Source organism: Homo sapiens, chromosome 2, assembly GCF_000001405.40.
Source record: "Homo sapiens chromosome 2, GRCh38.p14 Primary Assembly".
NCBI classification, from domain to species: domain Eukaryota; kingdom Metazoa; phylum Chordata; class Mammalia; order Primates; family Hominidae; genus Homo; species Homo sapiens.
In genome coordinates this window covers 231,845,612-231,864,200 of record NC_000002.12, presented here as the reverse complement: position 1 = coordinate 231,864,200, position 18,589 = coordinate 231,845,612, and the positions used below count along the sequence as shown (strand labels likewise).

At 48.0% G+C, this 18,589-nt stretch overlaps 1 annotated feature.

Annotated features, from left to right (window-relative positions):
* Positions 11,672-11,761: a silencer, noted in NCBI's record as "silent region_12450". NCBI's record gives its function as "represses an Ori minimal core promoter by ATAC-STARR-seq in GM12878 lymphoblastoid cells {active_cell/tissue: GM12878}" and the evidence as "EXISTENCE:reporter gene assay evidence [ECO:0000049][PMID:35858748]".

The window sequence follows — 18,589 nt, the reverse complement described above, 5'->3', positions numbered from 1 at the left end:
CAGTATATTATTTTGCAAGCTGGTAAATGTAGGGACAGAAGGAAGCATTTAACCTGCCTCTCCTATGTGAGCAGTACCACTGGGCAATCCCATTGATGAAAGGAAGCATCTGTTTATAAAGAATTCCAGCAAATAAATGAAAAAAAAAATGGAACTAAAATATCATCATTTGGTAGTGGTGGCGGCTGCGGCTCTTTCCATTATCTTATGTAAAATGCCGAAGCCGTCTCACTAATGTTGCCATCATCTGTCTAGCACCCACAGTCTATTTTCTCGAAGTCTATTTACTTACAAATTGTGTGGAATGACAAAATTGAGAAGCAATAAAATCTGAATCACGGCACAATGAAAAAAATATATGTCACTATTTTGCAACTCCCAGTAAATTAATGGACCTAGGTATTGAGCATCGATAGTGTGAACACCACAAAGGAAAAGCAGCTGGACATTATGCCTCCCCAATGAAGGAACACATCACCACCCAGAGCCTCGCCAAAGAGGTGCAAGCGGAGTCTGATCAAACTTCTAGATCCAGCTGATGTGGGCAGGAAATACAGAGAAAGGAGCACAAGTGGGCACGAGTGGGCAGCCAGCAAAATACAACAGAAACACCACAGTCAAATGGCCCAGGTTCTTCAACAGATAAACTGAAAGGAAAAGAAAGCAGTGAAGGGAGAACCTGTAGATTAACAGAGAGGTAAAAGATATATTTTCAATGGGAGGCTGAGGCGGACGGATCACCTGAGTTCAGGAGTTCGAGATCAGCCTGGCCAACACAGCGAAACCCCATCTCTACTACAAACGCAAAAATCAGCCAGGTGGGGTGGCAGGTGCCTGTAGTCCCAGCTACTGGGGAGGCTGAGGCAGAAGAATTGCTTGAACCTGGGAGGCGGAGGTTGCAGAGAGCCGAGATCGCACCACTGAACTCCAACCTGGGTGACAGAGCGAGACTCCTTCTCAAAAAAAAAAAAAAAGATATATTTTCACCCAGGCAAGACTGAACCAGAGTATCTAGGAATGCCCACTTGGGTGATGAAACACAAGTAAGGGAATGGTTACCGTGTCAGCCAGGCAGTAGTTGCTTTTGCAGGGAGGCAGGAGGCTGTGATGGGGACAGAGAACTCTCTGGTTCTTGCGTTTGGGGTGTTTGCCTTGTAATATTTATAATACTACTTTCAGCTTTACATCTTCTGTATGTTTTTCTGTCTTTATTTTATTTTATAATAAATATATATATATATTTTGAGACAGAGTCTCGCTTTGTCACCCAGGCTGGAATGCAGTGGCGCGATCTTGGCTCACTGCAAGCTCTGCCTCGCCTCCCGGGTTCATGCCATTCTCCCGCCTCAGCCTCCCGAGTACCTGGGACTACATGCGCCCGCCACCACGCCCGGCTAATTTTTTTTTGTATTTTTAGTAGAGACGAGGTTTCACTGTGTTAGCCAGGATGGTCTCGATCTCCTGACCTCATGATCCACCCGCCTCGGCCTCCCAAAGTGCTGGGATTACAGGCGTGAGCCACCGCCCTGGCCTTATTTTAGAATAAAAATATTTTTAAAATAAGACATGTTTAAAAATGTATATATAAATTAATGTATACTTATACAATACATGTCTATTAAAAGAAACTATGTCACATACCACAGTAATATGCATGGCATACTTTGAGTAACATTGACCTTTTCCTATACCTGAGTATCATAGGACATTAGAAGTCACCTTGGCCCAGTTCTCTCTACAGAAACCTCTGTGCCCACCTGGAATGGAAGAACTTCGTGGTGGGGGTAGGGAAGAGTGTGGGAGGAAACTGATGTCTGTGCTGGACAGCTTGAGGATACAAGGCACAGCCAGTGGGCATGGGTAGGGACAGGGCTCCTGTATAAGTACATCCTAAGCCCTGCCCAGCATATGCAGCTGCAACCCAGGAGGCTTCTTCAACCACAGCATTTCCTTGGCCGACCCCTAGGCCCCCTGCAGACCTGTACCAGGCCAGTGGAGATGGCTAGAGAAGCATGACCAGCTGAATGTTCTGAGGCACGTGGCAATCACACCAGCACAGTGTCTTGGAGCCACAAACCCTAACAGCGGTGGTGGAGACGTCCTGAGATACCTGTCCAGCCGTCATTCCCCTTATGGGAGAACTGCACCCCCATCCCAGTAGACTTGCTTGTGCTACACGATCCTGCCCTTCCTGTCACAGCTGACTTGATCAGCAAGGGACATATGCTGGAGGTGGACACCTGTGGTTTGCCGTCCAACATGTATTTCCCCTCCATTCTGCTAAGAGTACCTCAAATTTCTTTTCGGAAGCCTCCCCTCTCTCATGCGGTCAGAGTGGGACAACCCCACCTTCAGTCTGAGATGAGAGTATGCCAACAAATCACCCCTGTCGCCTGGTGTTCGTGGGGAGGTTGGGAGTCCAGACATGTGCCAATCAGCGTATCTCCTTTGGTCTGTGATTGGTTGAGAGATGGGCACTTGACCCAGGCTGGTCCAATCACAGTGAAACTCAGGACTCCTCTAAGGAAGAACGAGAGAGCCCCTCCCCTGCTCCCTCTCTTGTTCTGTGGGGTATGGAGTGAAAATGAAATCTCTAGAATTGCCATAGCCGGTGTTGGGATCTTGATGGAAGGGAGACCCTGAGGATAAAGCCAAAACTCAGAGGCAGGCAGAGCCACGGAACCTGCAGAGAATGGAGCACATTCTCTGATGACTTCCTGAGCCCCTGGGGCCAGTCTAGTCATTCCTCTGGATTTTATTACATGAACCAGTCTTCCTTCCCCTCCTTTTTTATTTAAAATTGAGCCAGTTTGCATTCGGTTTCTGCTCCTTGCAATTAGGTTATGTTAGGAATGTTATGGCTACAAGTAACAGAAAACCCAACTAATGATGATTTAAACAACATGAGTACACTTTTTGCACAAACAAGAAGTCCAAAAGACAATGCCCAGGACTGCTCACATAGCTTAGCAGTATCAAAACCCTGGCACTTTCCATTCTTTCACCCTACCATCCTCAACATATTGGCTTCTTGTCCCTATGGTTGTCACACTGTAATGTCATAGCTGCTGCAGCTCCAGAAATAACATCTGATATTAAGAAACCAAGACCTTTTCCATGAGGCCCCCAGTAGGAACACAGTGATGCCTCCTTTACCAGGACTGAATCACACAGTTGTATGGAGGCTGTAGAATCAAGTATCTGGCAAAAAAATAATAATAATAAGATCATCTTAGACCATCACAGTCAGTCACCTGGGATGGGGCACATTGGTTGGCACCTGAAACAAAACTGGAGTTTTCTTGACAAGAACGAAGGGGCAGGTGACTTTTAAGCAGGCAACCAGGACTGTCTGCCAGTTAGATTCTCTCTCCCAAAAATGTGGAATTGGGACTCAAGGACACTAGTCAGTGGCGCAGTTAAATGCTTCTGACAAGCCCGAGGCGGCGTCCCAGTGACGGCAGCCTGTGCCTGGAGAAGCTGGGAAGGGATCTTCAGAGAGAGAGAGAAGCAGATGGACAGGAAACTGAGAGGGGAGAGTAAATGGCCTCCGAGAGAATGCAAGAGGCAGCAACACTTCAGTTCTGAGGTCCACCACCCCAGTTACTGGTCCCGGCAGTAGGAGGACTGCTGTACACTATGCCTAGGAGTTTCATGGGACACGTCTGTATCCTCCAAATCCTCCTCTCCTCTGCCACTCTGCCACAACTCCTCCCTTACTTTTTTTTCTTACATTAGTTGTAGTGGGTCTTGTCAATGGCAACTAAAAGTGCTTTGAGGCCAGACGCAGTGGCTCACACCTGTAATCCCAGCACTTTGGGAGGCCAAGGCGGGTGGATCACTTAAGGTCAGGAGTTCAAGACCAGCCTGGCCAACATGGTGAAACCCAGTCTCTACTAAAAATACAAAAATTATCTGGGCATGGTGGCAGATGCCTGTAATCCCAGCAACTCAAGAGGCTGAGGCAGGAGAATCGCTTGAACCCAAGAGAATCGCTTGAACCCAGAGGTGGAGGTTGCAGTGACCAAGATCATGCCACTGCATTCCAGTCTGGGTAACAGAGTGAGACTCCATCACACACACACACACACAAAAGGCCAGGTGCGGTGGCTTACGCCTGTAATCTCAGCACTTTGGGAGGCTGAGGTGGGCAGATAACCTGACGTCGGGAGTTCGAGACCAGCCTGACCAACATGGAGAAACCCCGTCTCTACTAAAAATACAAAATTAGCTGGGCACGGTGGCACATGCCTATAATCCCGGCTACTTGGGAGGCTGAGGCAGGAGAATCACTTGAACCCGGCAGAGGTTGCGGTGAGCGGAGATCACACCATTACACTCCAGCCTGGGCAACAAGAGTGAAACTCCATCTCAAAAAAAAAAAAAGTGCTTTGAATAAGACAATGATGTCCTGAGATGCAAGGAGATCTCCAGGATAGGTCCCAGAACTATGGGGAGACCACAGACCCTGACTCTAGCACCCCTGGCAGACAGGAACCCTGAAGCTCAGATCTTCCCCAGCAGGTCTGTGGAGCCATATTTTTCCTGGACAACAAGCTAATGAAGACGACACCAGGCCACATGTGGCTTCAGCTCTGGTGCCTGGCCCCAGCCCCATCAGATCTGGCCAAGAGTCCTAGTTCAAGTCCCAGCTTCAGCACACTCAATTCAAGGCCTTCATGTGCAAATCCACTTGTCTGCTGCCCAGCCCCTTACACCAGTGTAATCAGATAGGGAACCCACAGGGCTGCCTGATTTTCAGCCAGGATACCAGGGTCACCTGACTTCCAGGGGTGTTCACTGTAAGTAACCATGGATTGCAGTACCATTATTAGAATAATAGCAGCTAGCATTTATTTAGTACTTACTATGTGCTATGTACTATACTGATATGGTCAAATTGTGTCCTCCCCCAACCCCTCTACCTCAGAATGTAACCTTATTTGGAGATAGAGTCCTTACAGAGGTGATCAAGTAAAAGTGGGGTCATTAGGGTGGGCCCAGTGATGGGTGTCCAGTCTGATGGGTGTCCTTATAAAATGGGACAATTTGGACACAGAGGAAAGATGAAATGAAGATACAGGGGAAAACCATGTGAACATAAAGACAGCCATCCACAGGCCAGCAAGAGGCCTCCAACGGATCCTTCCCTCCAGCTCTCACAAGGACCCGACCCTCACAACACCCTGATTTTTGACTTCTAATCTCCAGAACCGTGAGACGGTAAGGTTGTTATTTTAAGCCATCCATTTGGTGGTAAAGTAAGTTCTCACTTATCATCAGTGGGTTCTTATAAACTGTGACTTTAAGTGAAACAACGTATAACGAAACCAATTTTACCATAGGCTAACTAATACAAACAAGAGTTAAGTTCCTACAGCATATTTCTGGTCAAAAAAGCACCACCAAACTTCAAAATAAAGACCCCAGGCACTTCTAATATTAAAAATAGAAATAGGCTGGACGCCTTGGCTCATGCCTGTAATCCCAGCACTTTGGGAGGCCAAGGCGTGTGGATCACCTGAGGTCAGGAGTTTGAGACCAGCTTGACCAACATGGTGAAACCCCATCTCTACTAAAAATACAGAATTAGGCCCAGTGCGATGGCTCATGCCTGTTATCCTAGCACTTTGGGAGGCCAAGGCGGACAGACCACCTGAGGTCATGAGTTCAAGACCAGCCTGGCGAACACGGTGAAACGTTGTCTCTACTAAAACTACAAAAATTAGCCAGGAGGACCGGGAGCGGTGGCTCACGCCTGTAATCCCAGCACTCTGGGAGGCCGAGGCAGGTGGATCACGAGGTCAGGAGATGGAGACCATCCTGGCTAACACGGTGAAACCCCGTCTCTACTAAAAATACAAAAAATTAGCTGGGCGTGGTGGCGGGCGCCTACAGTCCCAGCTACTCGGGAGGCTGAGGCAGAAGAATGGCGTGAACCCAGGAGGTGGAGCTTGCAGTGAGCCCAGATTGCGACACAGCACTCCAGCCTGGGTGGCAGAGCGAGACTCCATCTCAAAAAAAAAAAAAATTAGCCAGGAGTGGTGGCACACACCTGTAGTCCCAGCTACTCAGGAGGCTGAGGCAGGAGAATCGTTTGAACTCAGGAGGTGGAGGTTGCAGCGAGCCAAGATCACGCTACTGCACTCCAGCCTGGGCGACAGAGCAAGACTCTGTCTCAAAAAAAAAAGAAAAAAGAAAAGAAAAAGAAAAAAAAAATTAGCCGAGTGTGGTGGTACATACTTGTAATCCCAGATACATACTCGGGAGGCTGAGGCAGGAGAATCACTTGAACCCAGCAAGCAGAAGTTTCAGTGAGCCGAGATTGCACCACTGCACTCCAGCCTGGGCGACAAGAGCGAAACTCTGTCTCAAAAAATAAAATAAATGTGAGCCATACATATCTTTAAGAAAGATTAATAAAAACAAGTAAGACAATCTTCCGGTTTCTGGTGAATCAGTGAGTGATGGTGGTCCTAGTCATGGTGGGTTAAATCAAGGAATAAATGTCTGCAAAGCCAACATTGGAAGGAGCACCATGCAGTTCAGAAACAAATAATCCTGAATGCCGTAGGCTCACTGGGCCCTTTCCTACCGCATCTGTTATGGCAGTGCATCTCTATGATTATTGTAGATTTTATGAATTTTTTTTTGAGATGGAGTCTCGCTCTGTTGCCCAGGCTGAAGTGCGGTGGCATGATCTAGGCGCACCACAACCTCCACCTCCTGGGTTCAAGCGATTCTCCTGCCTCAGCCTCCCAAGTAGCTTGGATTACAGACATGCACCACTACACCCAGATAATTATTGTTTTTACTATAGAGACAAGGTTTCACCGTGTTGGCCAGGCTGGTCTCAAACTCCTGGCCTCAACTGATCCACCCACCTCAGCCTCCCAAAGTGCTGGGATTATAGGTGTCAGCCACTGTGCCCAGCCAATTTTATTAATTTTTATTTTATAATCGTTGCATCCTTTCACTTTCCAACCTGCTGATTATCGTTCAAGGTCTCAGGTGGCTGGCGCCTCTCCCAGCAGCTGAGGACACAGGGCGGGAACCAGCCCTGGACAGGATGCCATCCCATTTCAGGGCCATTCACACACACCCACACTCACTCAGACCGGGGCCATGCAGACACACCCATTCACAGCTTTTGGGGTTTGGGAGGAAAGTGGAGTACCCAGAGAAAACCTATGCAGACATGGGGAGGAATGGATGTTTCTCCCCCTCATCGACATTGTAACACAGTGACACAGAGTGAAGTGACGCCCCTCAAGGACCTGCGTGCTTTGTTATGGCAGCCCTAGCAAACTAAGACATATGCTAAAGTACTTTCATTCATCATCTTATTTAATCTTTAGGATGAATCCTTATATCCTGCAGTACTATTATTATGCCCATTTAACAGATATGTGAGCTGAGGTTTAGAGATATGAAGTAATTTGCCCAAGGTCATGTGGCACATACATGGTAGAGCCCAGATTTGAACTGCTCTTGACCATTCTACCACCCTACTTCCCAAGACAGCGTCTGTCCAGCCAACCCAGAGTAAGCAAATTTTTCTCCTAGCCATGACCCTCCTAAAAAGTCCCCAAATGACGTCTGTGTCAGCCAGACATGGTGGCTCATACCTGTAATCCCCGCACTTTGGGAAGATGAGGTGGGAGGGTCACTTGAGGCAAGGAGTTTGAGACCAGCCTGGGCAACACAGTGAGACCCTGTCTCTTCCCTATCTTATAAACTTATCTAGGCCTGATGGTGCACATAGTCCTAGCTACTCAGGAGGCTGAGGCAGGAGGATCGCTTGAGCCCAGGAGTTTGGGGTTACAATGAGCCATGATCGATACCACTGCATTCCAGCCTGGGCAACAGAGCAGATCACTTGAGCCCAGGAGTTTGGGATTACAGTGAGCCATTGTCACACCACTGCACTCCAGCCTGGGCAACAGAGCAAGACCCTGTCTCAAAAAAAAAAAAAAAAATTAGGAAAAGGAAGTTTGTAAAGAGGAGATATAGTGGGATAAAATGGAGATTTCTCTTCCCATCAGAGCCTTTACTCCACATCATGGGGAGCTGGGCAGGGCCCCAAGGAGGGCTCTCATTGCTGAGTGTGGCAGGCCACAGGGAGGGGACCCAAATGAGGCCAAGTCTGCATTCCACTGTGTCTAAAATTGTGGTGCTTTGGTCACTGGTAAAAGACCCAATGCCGGCCAACTTAAGCAAGAGGAAGATTGGGAGGATCCTGGGGACTCCCAGAATTCATGGCTTGAAATTGAGCAAGAAGCGAGTGTATCCTGGGCTAGGGTGGGGAAGCCTGGGCCACAGCCTAAGTCCAGGGACACGTGGCCACCAAGGTGGTGGCTCTGCATTAGATCTAAGCCCCACAAGAGCTTGTCTAGATGACTGAGCTCTGTGGCCTCCCTGCTCCATGGGGTGGGCCGAGGTGGGTCTGGCTCCTGTCTTCAGGCTTTTGCAGCTGGAATTACTCCCTGCAAGAATATATAGATGGAAGAGAGGTAATCCCTGCAGAGGAAAATGGGGTAATGATAGAAAGAGGAGATGTGGGCCTCAGAGCCTATGGCCACGGGTGGTCACACATACTCCAACGGGAAACCTGGGAGGAGTCCCATCTTTCCTACCTCAACAAGAGAGGAGCCCAGATAACAGCCAGACAGAAAGAAAAACCATCCCAGTGCACACCACAGTGCCGGTCCCCAACTCCAGCCCCAGGCCTTTCTTTTGGGGAGAGGAAGTGAAGTACCCTAAGGCTCATGCCACCTGGTTACACAGGAGAGGAGAGGACAACCAAAAGGCACGAGGTGGAGGCAGGAAGTGGCGACAGGGACTAAGTGAGATCGGCCTGGCTTTCTCCAAAAAGTGCCCCAACTCATGTGCAGAACTTTGACCAAATTTAGTGAGACATCCGCCACTGATTAGTAGCCAAAAAATGTCCAGTGCCATCATCTACCACTGTCAGCCAACTCTACTGCCTTCCTACGATAATTCCACCTGCTTTCCCTGCCGCCCACACACAAATACTTATCTGGACCACCAAGTATCGTCATGACTTGGGAAGGCACTTAGAGGAAGTTGGTGCCACCAGGAGACCAGCAGGCCACCCTCTGGCAAGCCATGGCTCACCCATCCTGGCCAGCAAGCTCCCTTGCCAGAAGCACCCCCAGGGCTGGCGCTCTCCTAGTCACATCTGCAGCTCCCAAACCTCCTGCTGGCTCAAGGACTGGTTTCTGGACCTGCCTGGGTTTCTGCGGCCAGCCGAGCCTTTCTGTGCAGATGCATCTCCTATTTCATCACTCCTGCGGAAGCAGAGGGGCACAGAGAGAACCTGGCTCACTCCTGCTCTGCCACTTGCTGCCGTGTGGCCTCGGGCAGGTTACTTAACATCTTTGAGACGTTGGTGCCTGACACACAGTAATCATTCAACAGAGGCTGATTATGATTTCCTCACACCCAGAGAACACCTGGCACTGCTCGGCAAGAGAACGGGATCTGCTGCTGTTCAGCTTCTTGTAGAATTCACACCAAGCTCCTGCAATCTCAGCACTTTACTGTGGATGCCTTTGAGAATATGATGACTGCTGTGGATCCCTTGTAAAAATACATATAGGGCCAGGCGTGGTAGCTCATGCCTCTCATCCCAGCACTTTGGGAGGCCGAGGTGGGCGGATCACCGGAGGTCAGGAGTTCAAGACCAACCTGGCCAACGTGGTGAAACCCCATCTCTACTAAAAATACAAAAATTAGCCGGGCATGGTGGTGCACACTTGTAATCCCAGCTACTTGGGAGGCTGAGGCAGAAGAGTGGAACCTGGGAGGCGGTGGAGGTTGCAGTGAGCCGAGATCGCACATTGCACTCCAGTCGGGGCAACAAGAGCAAAACTCCATTTCAAAAAAAAAAAACATACAGGGCTGGGCGCAGTGGCTCATACTTGTAATCCCAGCATTTTGGGAGGCCGAGACAGGCAGATCACTTGAGCTCAGGAATTCGAGATCCAGCCTGGGCAACACGGTGAAACCCCATCTCTACAAAAAATTTAAAAAATTAGCTGGGCATGGTGGTGCGCACCTATGGTCCCAGCTACTTGGGAGGCTGGGGTAGGAGGATCACTCTAGCCTAGGAGGTGGAGGTTGCAGTGAGCCGAGATTGTGCCACTGCACTCCAGCCTGGGCAACAGAGTGAAACCCTATCTCAAAAAAAATAAATAAATAAAATATATATGTATATATGTAACATTCTTGAAATGACAAGATGATAAGGACAGAAAAGAGATTAGTGACTGCTAGGGGCAGGGACAGGGAGGGGAGAGAGGAGTGGGTGTAAATATTAATATAAAAGGGTAGCATGAGGGATCTTTGGGGTGATGGAACAGTTCTGTATCTTGATTGTGGTGGGAGTTACACCAATCTATACATGTGATAAAATTGCATAGAACTATACCCACACACATGCACATAAGTGTATGTAAAACTCTCTAAGTCCAAATAAGGCCTGGATCGTACCAATGTCATTTCCTCGTTTACCTATTGTGCTTAAGTAATGTAGATATTACCATTGGGGGTAACTGGTCGAAAGGCACACAGAGCCTTGCTACTATTTTTACAACTTCTTGTGAATCTATAATTATTTCAAGATTAAAAGTTTTTAAAATAAGCTATATAAGTGCATATTTATATATGTACAGTTCTGCATCTGACCCCAGGGGCTTCACATCTCCCTGAGGTTCCTCTGGCTTCCTAGGGTGAAAGGAGGCCCGAGGCTGCATTCTCAGGCCCTTCGCCCACCACAGTCTACATTCCTGCATCACCACCCATGCCCTTTATATTCAGCTGCCTCAGGTCCCCGATAAGATGGAAAACCAGACAGCTCCAAGAGAGAGGGTGGCATACGGGAAAGATGATTCAGCTGCTTTTCTGGAGGGCGGGGTGGACATTTGTACATGCACACACACACTCTCACCGTGCTCTGGGGGGTGGGCGTTTGCGTGCACACACACACACACATACTCTCACCATGCTCTGGCGGGTGGACATTTGCACATACGCACACACACACATACACACACACACTTACCATGCTCTGACAACAGCCGGGGACTCGTGTGGTGCTGCACGGACTGGAGAGGTGCCCTCTATCTAAGCACTCTTGGAGGTCTCCCCTCAGTCAGAATTCCTCCATGGCACTGGGACCACAAGTCTTGACTTTCCCAAGTCTTTTTTTCTTTTTTTTTTGAGATGGAGTCTTGCTCTGTTGCCCAGGCTGGAGTGCAGTAGCATGATCTTGGCTCACTGTAACCTCTGCCTCCCCGGTTCAAGTGATTCTCCTGCCTCAGCATCCTGAGTAGCTGGGATTACATACGCACACCACCACGCCCAGCTAATTTTTATATTTTTAATAGAGATGGGTTTTGCTATGTTGGCCAGGCTGGTCTCGAACTCCTGACCTCAGGTGATCCGTCCGCCTTGGCCTCCCAAAGTGCTGGGATTATAGGCATGAGCCACTGTGCCTGGCCCCAAGTCATCTTCTCATTCCTAGTCCACACCACAGACTTTCAGACAAATAACTCCAATTTGGAGAGAAAATTAACCACCTTGTCTGTGTTCTAAATTCCTCCTGAGTCCATTGATGCCAACACCCCAGGGACCAGGCTCTGCCTTTGCCCAGAACATACCATGAAGCCTAAGGGTCCAGCGTCATTCCTTCAGCACTTTAATGTACTGCTGCCCTCTGCTGGTCATTTCAGGATAGTACTTAGAAATCAGTATTAGGCCGGGCGCGGTGGTTCAAGCCTGTAATCCCAGCACTTTGGAAGACCGAGGAGGGTGGATCACCTGAGGTCAGGAGCTGGAGACCAGCCTGGCCAACATGGTGAAACCCTGTCTCTATTAAAAATACAAAAAATTAGCCGGGCGTGGTGGCGGGCACCTGTAATCCCAGCTACTTGGGAGGCTGAGGCAGGAGAATTGCTTGAACCCAGGAGGCGGAGGTTGCAGTGAGCCAAGGTTGTGCCACTGCACTTCTGCCTGGGTGACAGAGCGAGACTCTGTCTCAGGAAAAAAAAAAAGAAAGAAAGAAAGAAGGAGGGAGGGAGGGAAAGAAAGAAAAGAAAGAGAAAGAGAAAGAGGAAGGAAGGAAGGAAGGAAGGAAGGAAGGAAGGAAGGAAGGAAGGAAAAAGAAAGAAAGAAAGAAAGAAAGAAAGAAAGAAAGAAAGAAAGAAAGAAAGAAAGAAAGAAAGAAAGAGAAAGACAGACAGACAGAAAGAAAGAAAGAAAGAAAGAAAGAAAGAAAGAAAGAAAGAAAGAAAGAAAAGAAAAGAAAAGAAAAGAAAGAAAGAGAAAGAAAGAAAGAAACTGGGCTGCACAACTGGTGAGTGGCGGGTAAGTGAGCATTACTGCCAGAGCTCCACTTGCTGTCAGATCAGTGGTGCATTCCACTCTCATAGGAGTACAAACTCTATTGTAAAACTGTGCCTGTGAGGTTGTGTGCTCCTTATGAGAATCTAATGCCTGATGATCTGGTGGAATAGTTTTATCCCAAATCACCACCTCCCACCCCGTCTGTGGAAAAATTGTTTTCCATGAAACCCAGTCCCTGGTGGCAAAAATCTTGGGGACCACTGCCATAGACAGTTCTTTTGGATAAACATAGAAATGGGACCTTGTGGTCTTAAAGCTTGAAACTTAAACATTTGTTTTCTCTGAGTTCCTTCCTTAGGAAAGGACTAGTAGACCTCTCAAAAAGCATCAAAGAACTGAAACTCACCAGATCATGGCAACCAGACAATGAGATGCCAGACCCCTGATTTTGTTTCCTTACCCCTCCCTAGGTCCTATTTTCCAATACATTGTTACATTTCTTCTCTGCTATGTAAACCCCCAAGTTTAGTTAGTCAGGGAGATGGGTTTGAGACTGATCTGCCATCTCCTCCGCTGCAGCACCGTCTTCCTTGGCAACACTCGTCCTCTCAGTCACTGGCTTTCTGTGCTGCAAGCAGCAGACCTAGCCTGAACCCCTGGTGTTTCAATAACAATCTTAGGGAGGCAGTGCTGTAGAGCAGTTGAGAGCAGAGACCGCTTTCTAGCTGTGTCACCTTGGGCAAGTCATGTCACCTCTAACCTTCAGTTTCCTCATTGTAAAAGAGAGAGAATGATACATGCTTCCAAGGCTTACTGTGAGAACTGAAGGAAGTGATCCATGTAAAGTGTGAAGCATGATACCCTAAACAGAAAAGGCATTCAATGTTAGTTGCTAGTGTGAGAGTGTGTGTACAGTTAAAGAAAAAACTCTTTCTCCACTCACAATACTTCTGACCCAAATGTGTGGGTTTTCTATGCCATAGCAATTTTCCAATTCTTGGTGGAAATCCCAGCTGGGTGTCTTACAACTTAATTCAATTTTGACACTAACTACCTGGAGTTAACACACCTCCTACAGGTTAAGGGTTCAGTCCTACAAAATTGACCCAACTTCAGATGTCAATCACAAGTAGTGGGTCCCCAGGTTATCCACACTCCTACATCTGACCTAGCTACAAACTGGGGGCTTCCATAACCCCCTCATTAGGTTTGATAATTTGATATAACAGCTCACCTGTGAGCTCAGAGAAACACTTTATTATTGCCAGTTTACTAGAAAGGAATTTTTTTTCTTTTAGAGACAGGGTCTTGCTCTGTTGCCCACGCTGGTGTGAAGTGGCATGATCATAGCTCACTGCTGCCTTGAACTCCTGGGCTCCAGCGATCCTCCCACCTGAGCCTCCCACCCAGCAAGTAGCTGGGACTATAGGTGTGCACCACCACACCTGTAGGATATTATAAAGGATATAAATGAACAGCCAGATGAAGAGGTACACAGGGCGAAGTGTGGAGCAGTCCCCAAACAGCATCTTTTGTCTCCGTGGAGCTGGGGTGCTCATCTTCCCAGCATGTGAATGCACTAACCAATCCAGAAGCTCTCTGAACCCCATCAGTTAGGGATTTTATGGAGGTTCATTCCATTACATAGACATGATTGATTAAACCACTGGCCATTGATTAACTCAATACCCAGCCCCTCTCCCCTCCCTGGAGGCAGGGAAGTTGAAAGTTCTGAATCACATAGTTCATTCCTCTGGTGGCCAATCACCATCCAGAGGTGATTAAAGAGCCACTTTATTAGCATCAATTCAGGTATGTTAGCAAGGGGCTTATTATGAATACAAAGATGCTCCTTTCACTGCTATCATTCAGGAAAGCTCAAAGGTTTTAGGAACTCTATGCCACGAACAGGGGATGAAGACTAAATATATATTTCTTACTGTGTCATAATATTAAAACAGCCAAGAGTAATAAGGGGGCTGTGCACCTCACGCAGGTAGGAAAACCTCTAAGAAAATGTGGTGTCGGGAGAGCCCTCCAGCCTGGGTCCCCTGAGGATGTCAATCTAGAGCAGGGTTTCTCACTCTGGGCACTATTTCCATTTTGGAGCAGATTATTCTCTGATGTGGCAGCTGGCCTGTACACTGTAGGGTTTCTAGAGCAGGGTTTCTGGAGCCTGTACACTGTACGGTTTCTAGAGCAGGGTTTCTCACTCTGGGCACTATTTCTATTTTGGAACAGATTATTCTCTGATGTGGCAGCTGGCCTGTACACTGTAGGGTTTCTAGAGCAGGGTTTCTGGAGACTGTACACTGTGGGATTTCTAGAGCAAGGTTTCTGACTCTGGGGCACTATTTCTATTTTGGAGCAGATTATTCTCTGATGTGGTGGCTGGCCTGTACACTGTAGGGTTTCTAGAGCAGGGTTTCTGGAGCCTGTACACTGTAGGATTTCTAGAGCAAGGTTTCTCACTCTGGACACTATTTCTAGTTTGGAGCAGATTATTCTCTGATGTGGCGGCTGGCCTGTACACAGTAGGGTTTCTAGAGCAGGGTTTCTGGAGCCTGTACACTGTAGGATTTCTAGAGCAAGGCTTCTCACTCTGGGCACTATTTCTATTTTGGAGCAGATTATTCTCTGATGTGGTGGCTGGCCTGCACACTGTAGGGTTTCTAGAGCAGGGTTTCTGGAGCCTGTACACTGTAGGATTTCTAGAGCAAGGTTTATCAATCTGGGCACTATTTCAATTTTGGAGCAGATTATTCTCTGATGTGGTGGCTGGCCTGTACACTGTAGGGTTTCTAGAGCACGGTTTCTGGAGCCTGTACACTGTAGGATTTCTAGAGAAAGGTTTCTCACTCTGGGCACTATTTCTATTTTGGAGCAGATTATTCTCTGATGTGGCAGCTGGCCTGTACACTCTAGGCTTTCTAGAGCAGGGTTTCGGGAGCCTGTACACTGTAGGATTTCTAGAGCAGGGTTTCTCACCCTGGGCACTATTTCTAGTTTGGAGCAAATTATTCTCTGATGTGGCGGCTGACGTGTACACTGTAGGGTTTCTAGAGCAGGGTTTCAGGAGCCTGTACACTGTAGGATTTCTAGAGCAGGGTTTCTCACTCTGGGCACAATTTCTATTTTGGAGCAGATTATTCTCTGATGTGGCAGCTGGCCTGTACACTGTAGGGTTTCTAGAGCAGGGTTTCTCACTGTGGGCACTATTTCTATTTTGGAGCAGATTGTTCTCTGACGTGGCGGCTGGCCTGTACACTGTAGGGTTTCTAGAGCAGGGTTTCTCACTCTGGGCACTATTTCTATTTGGAGCAGATTATTCTCTGATGTGGTGGCTGGCCTGTACACTGTAGGGTTTCTAGAGCAGGGTTTCTCACTGTGGGCACTATTTCTATTTTGGAGCAGATTGTTCTCTGACGTGGCGGCTGGCCTGTACACTGTAGGGTTTCTACAGCAGGGTTTCTCACTCTGGGCACTATTTCTATTTGGAGCAGATTATTCTCTGATGTGGCGGCTGGCCTGTACACTGTGGGGTTTCTAGAGAAGGGTTTCTCACTCTGGGCACTATTTCTATTTGGAGCACATTATTCTCTGATGTGGCGGCTGGCCTGTAAACTGTAGGGTTCCTAGAGAAGGGTTTCGGGAGCCTGTACACTGTAGGGTTTCCAGAGCAGAGTTTCTCACTCTGGGCACTATTTCTATTTTGGAGCAGATTATTCTCTGATGTGGCGGCTGGCCTGCACACTGTAGGGTTTCTAGAGCAGGGTTTCTCACTCTGGGCACTATTTCTATTTGGAGCAGATTATTCTCTGATGTGGCGGATGGCCTATACACTGTAGGGTTTCTAAAGCAGGGTTTCTCACTCTGGGCTCTATTTCTATTTAGAGCAGATTATTCTCTGATGTGGCGGCTGGCCTGTACACTGTAGGGTTTCCAGAGCAGGGTTTCTCACTCGGGGCACTATTTCTATTTTGGAGTAGATTATTCTCTGATGTGGCGGCTGGCCTGTACACTGTAGGGTTTCTAGAGCAGGGTTTCTCACTCTGGGCACTATTTCTATATGGAGCAGATCATTCTCTGATGTGGCAGCTGGCCTGTACACTATAGGGTTTCTAGAGCAGGGTTTCTCACTCTGGGCACTATTTCTATTTGGAGCAGGTTATTCTCTCATGTGGCGGCTGACCTGTACACTGTAGGGTTTCTAGAGCAGGGTTTCTCACTCTGGGCACTATTTGTAGTTTGGAGCAGATTATTCCCTGATGTGGCAGCTGGCCTGTACACTGTAGGGTTTCTAGAGCAGGGTTTCTGGAGCCTGTACACTATAGGGTTTCCAGAGCAGACTTTCTCACTCTGGGCACTATTTCTAGTTTGGAGCAGATTATTCTCTGATGTGGTGGCTGACCTGTACACTGTAGGGTTTCTAGAGCAGAGTTTCTCACTCTGGGCACTATTTCTAGTTTGGAGCAGATTATTCTCTGATGTGGCGGCTGGCCTGTACACTGTAGGGTTTCTAGAGCAGGGTTTCTCACTCTGGACACTATTTCCATTTGGAGCAGATTATTCTCTCATGTGGCGGCTGGCCTGTACACTGTAGGGTTTCTAGAGCAGGGTTTCTCACTCTGGGCACTATTTCTCTTTGGAGCCGATTATTCTCTGATGTGGCGGCTGGCCTGTACACTGTAGGGTTTCTAGAGCAGGGTTTCTCACGCTGGGCACTATTTCTCTTTGGAGCACATTATTCTCTGATGTGGCGGCTGGCCTGTACACTGTAGGGTTTCTAGAGCAGGGTTTCTCACTCTGGGCACTATTTCTAGTTTGCAGCAGATCATTCTCTGATGTGGCGGCTGGCTTGTACACTGTAGCGTTTCTAGAGCAGGGTTTCTCACTCTGGACACTATTTCTATTTGGAGCAGATTATTCTCTGATGTGGCGACTGGCCTGTACACTCTAGGGTTTCTAGAGCAGTGTATCTCACACTGGGCACTATTTGTATTTGGGGCAGATTATTCTCTGATGTGGCGGCTGGCCTGTACACTATAGGGTTTCTAGAGCAGGGTTTCTCACTCTGAGCACTATTTCTATTTGGAGCACATTATTCTCTGATGTGGCGGCTGGCCTGTACACTGTAGGGTTTCTAGAGCAGGGTTTCTCACTCTGGGCACTATTTCCATTTGGAGCAGATTATTCTCTGATGTGGCGGCTGTCCTGTACAATGTAGGGCTTCTAGAGAAGGGTATCTCACTCTGGGCACTACTTCTATTTGGAGCACATTATTCTCTGATATGGCGACTGGCCTGTATACTGCAGGGTTTCTAGAGCAGGGTTTCTCACTCTGGACACTATTTCTATTTGGAGCAGATTATTCTCTGATGTGGCGGCTGGCCTGTACACTGTAGGGTTTCCAGAGCAGAGTTTCTCACTCTGGGCACTATTTCTGTTTTGGAGCAGATTATTCTCTGATGTGGCGGCTGGCCTGTACACTGTAGGGTTTCTAGAGCAGGGTTTCTGGAGCCTGTACACTGTAGGGTTTCTAGAGCAGGGTTTCCCACTCTGGGCACTATTTCTATTTGGACCAGATTATTCTCTGATGTGGCGGCTGCCCTGTACACTGTAGGGTTTCTAGAATACGGTTTCTCACTCTGGGCACTATTTCTATTTGGAGCAGATTATTCTCTGATGTGGCGGCTGGCCTGTACACTGTAGGGTTTCTAGAGCAGGGTTTCTCACTCTGGGCACTATTTCTATTTGGAGCAGATTATTCTCTGATGTGGTGGCTGACCTGTACACTGTAGGGTTTCTAGAGCAGAGTTTCTCACTCTGGGCACTATTTCTAGTTTGGAGCAGATTATTCTCTGATGTGGCGGCTGGCCTGTACACTGTAGGGTTTCTAGAGCAGGGTTTCTCACTCTGGACACTATTTCCATTTGGAGCAGATTATTCTCTCATGTGGCGGCTGGCCTGTACACCGTAGGGTTTCTAGAGCAGGGTTTCTCACTCTGGGCACTATTTCTCTTTGGAGCCGATTATTCTCTGATGTGGCGGCTGGCCTGTACACTGTAGGGTTTCTAGAGCAGGGTTTCTCACGCTGGGCACTATTTCTCTTTGGAGCACATTATTCTCTGATGTGGCGGCTGGCCTGTACACTGTAGGGTTTCTAGAGCAGGGTTTCTCACTCTGGGCACTATTTCTAGTTTGCAGCAGATCATTCTCT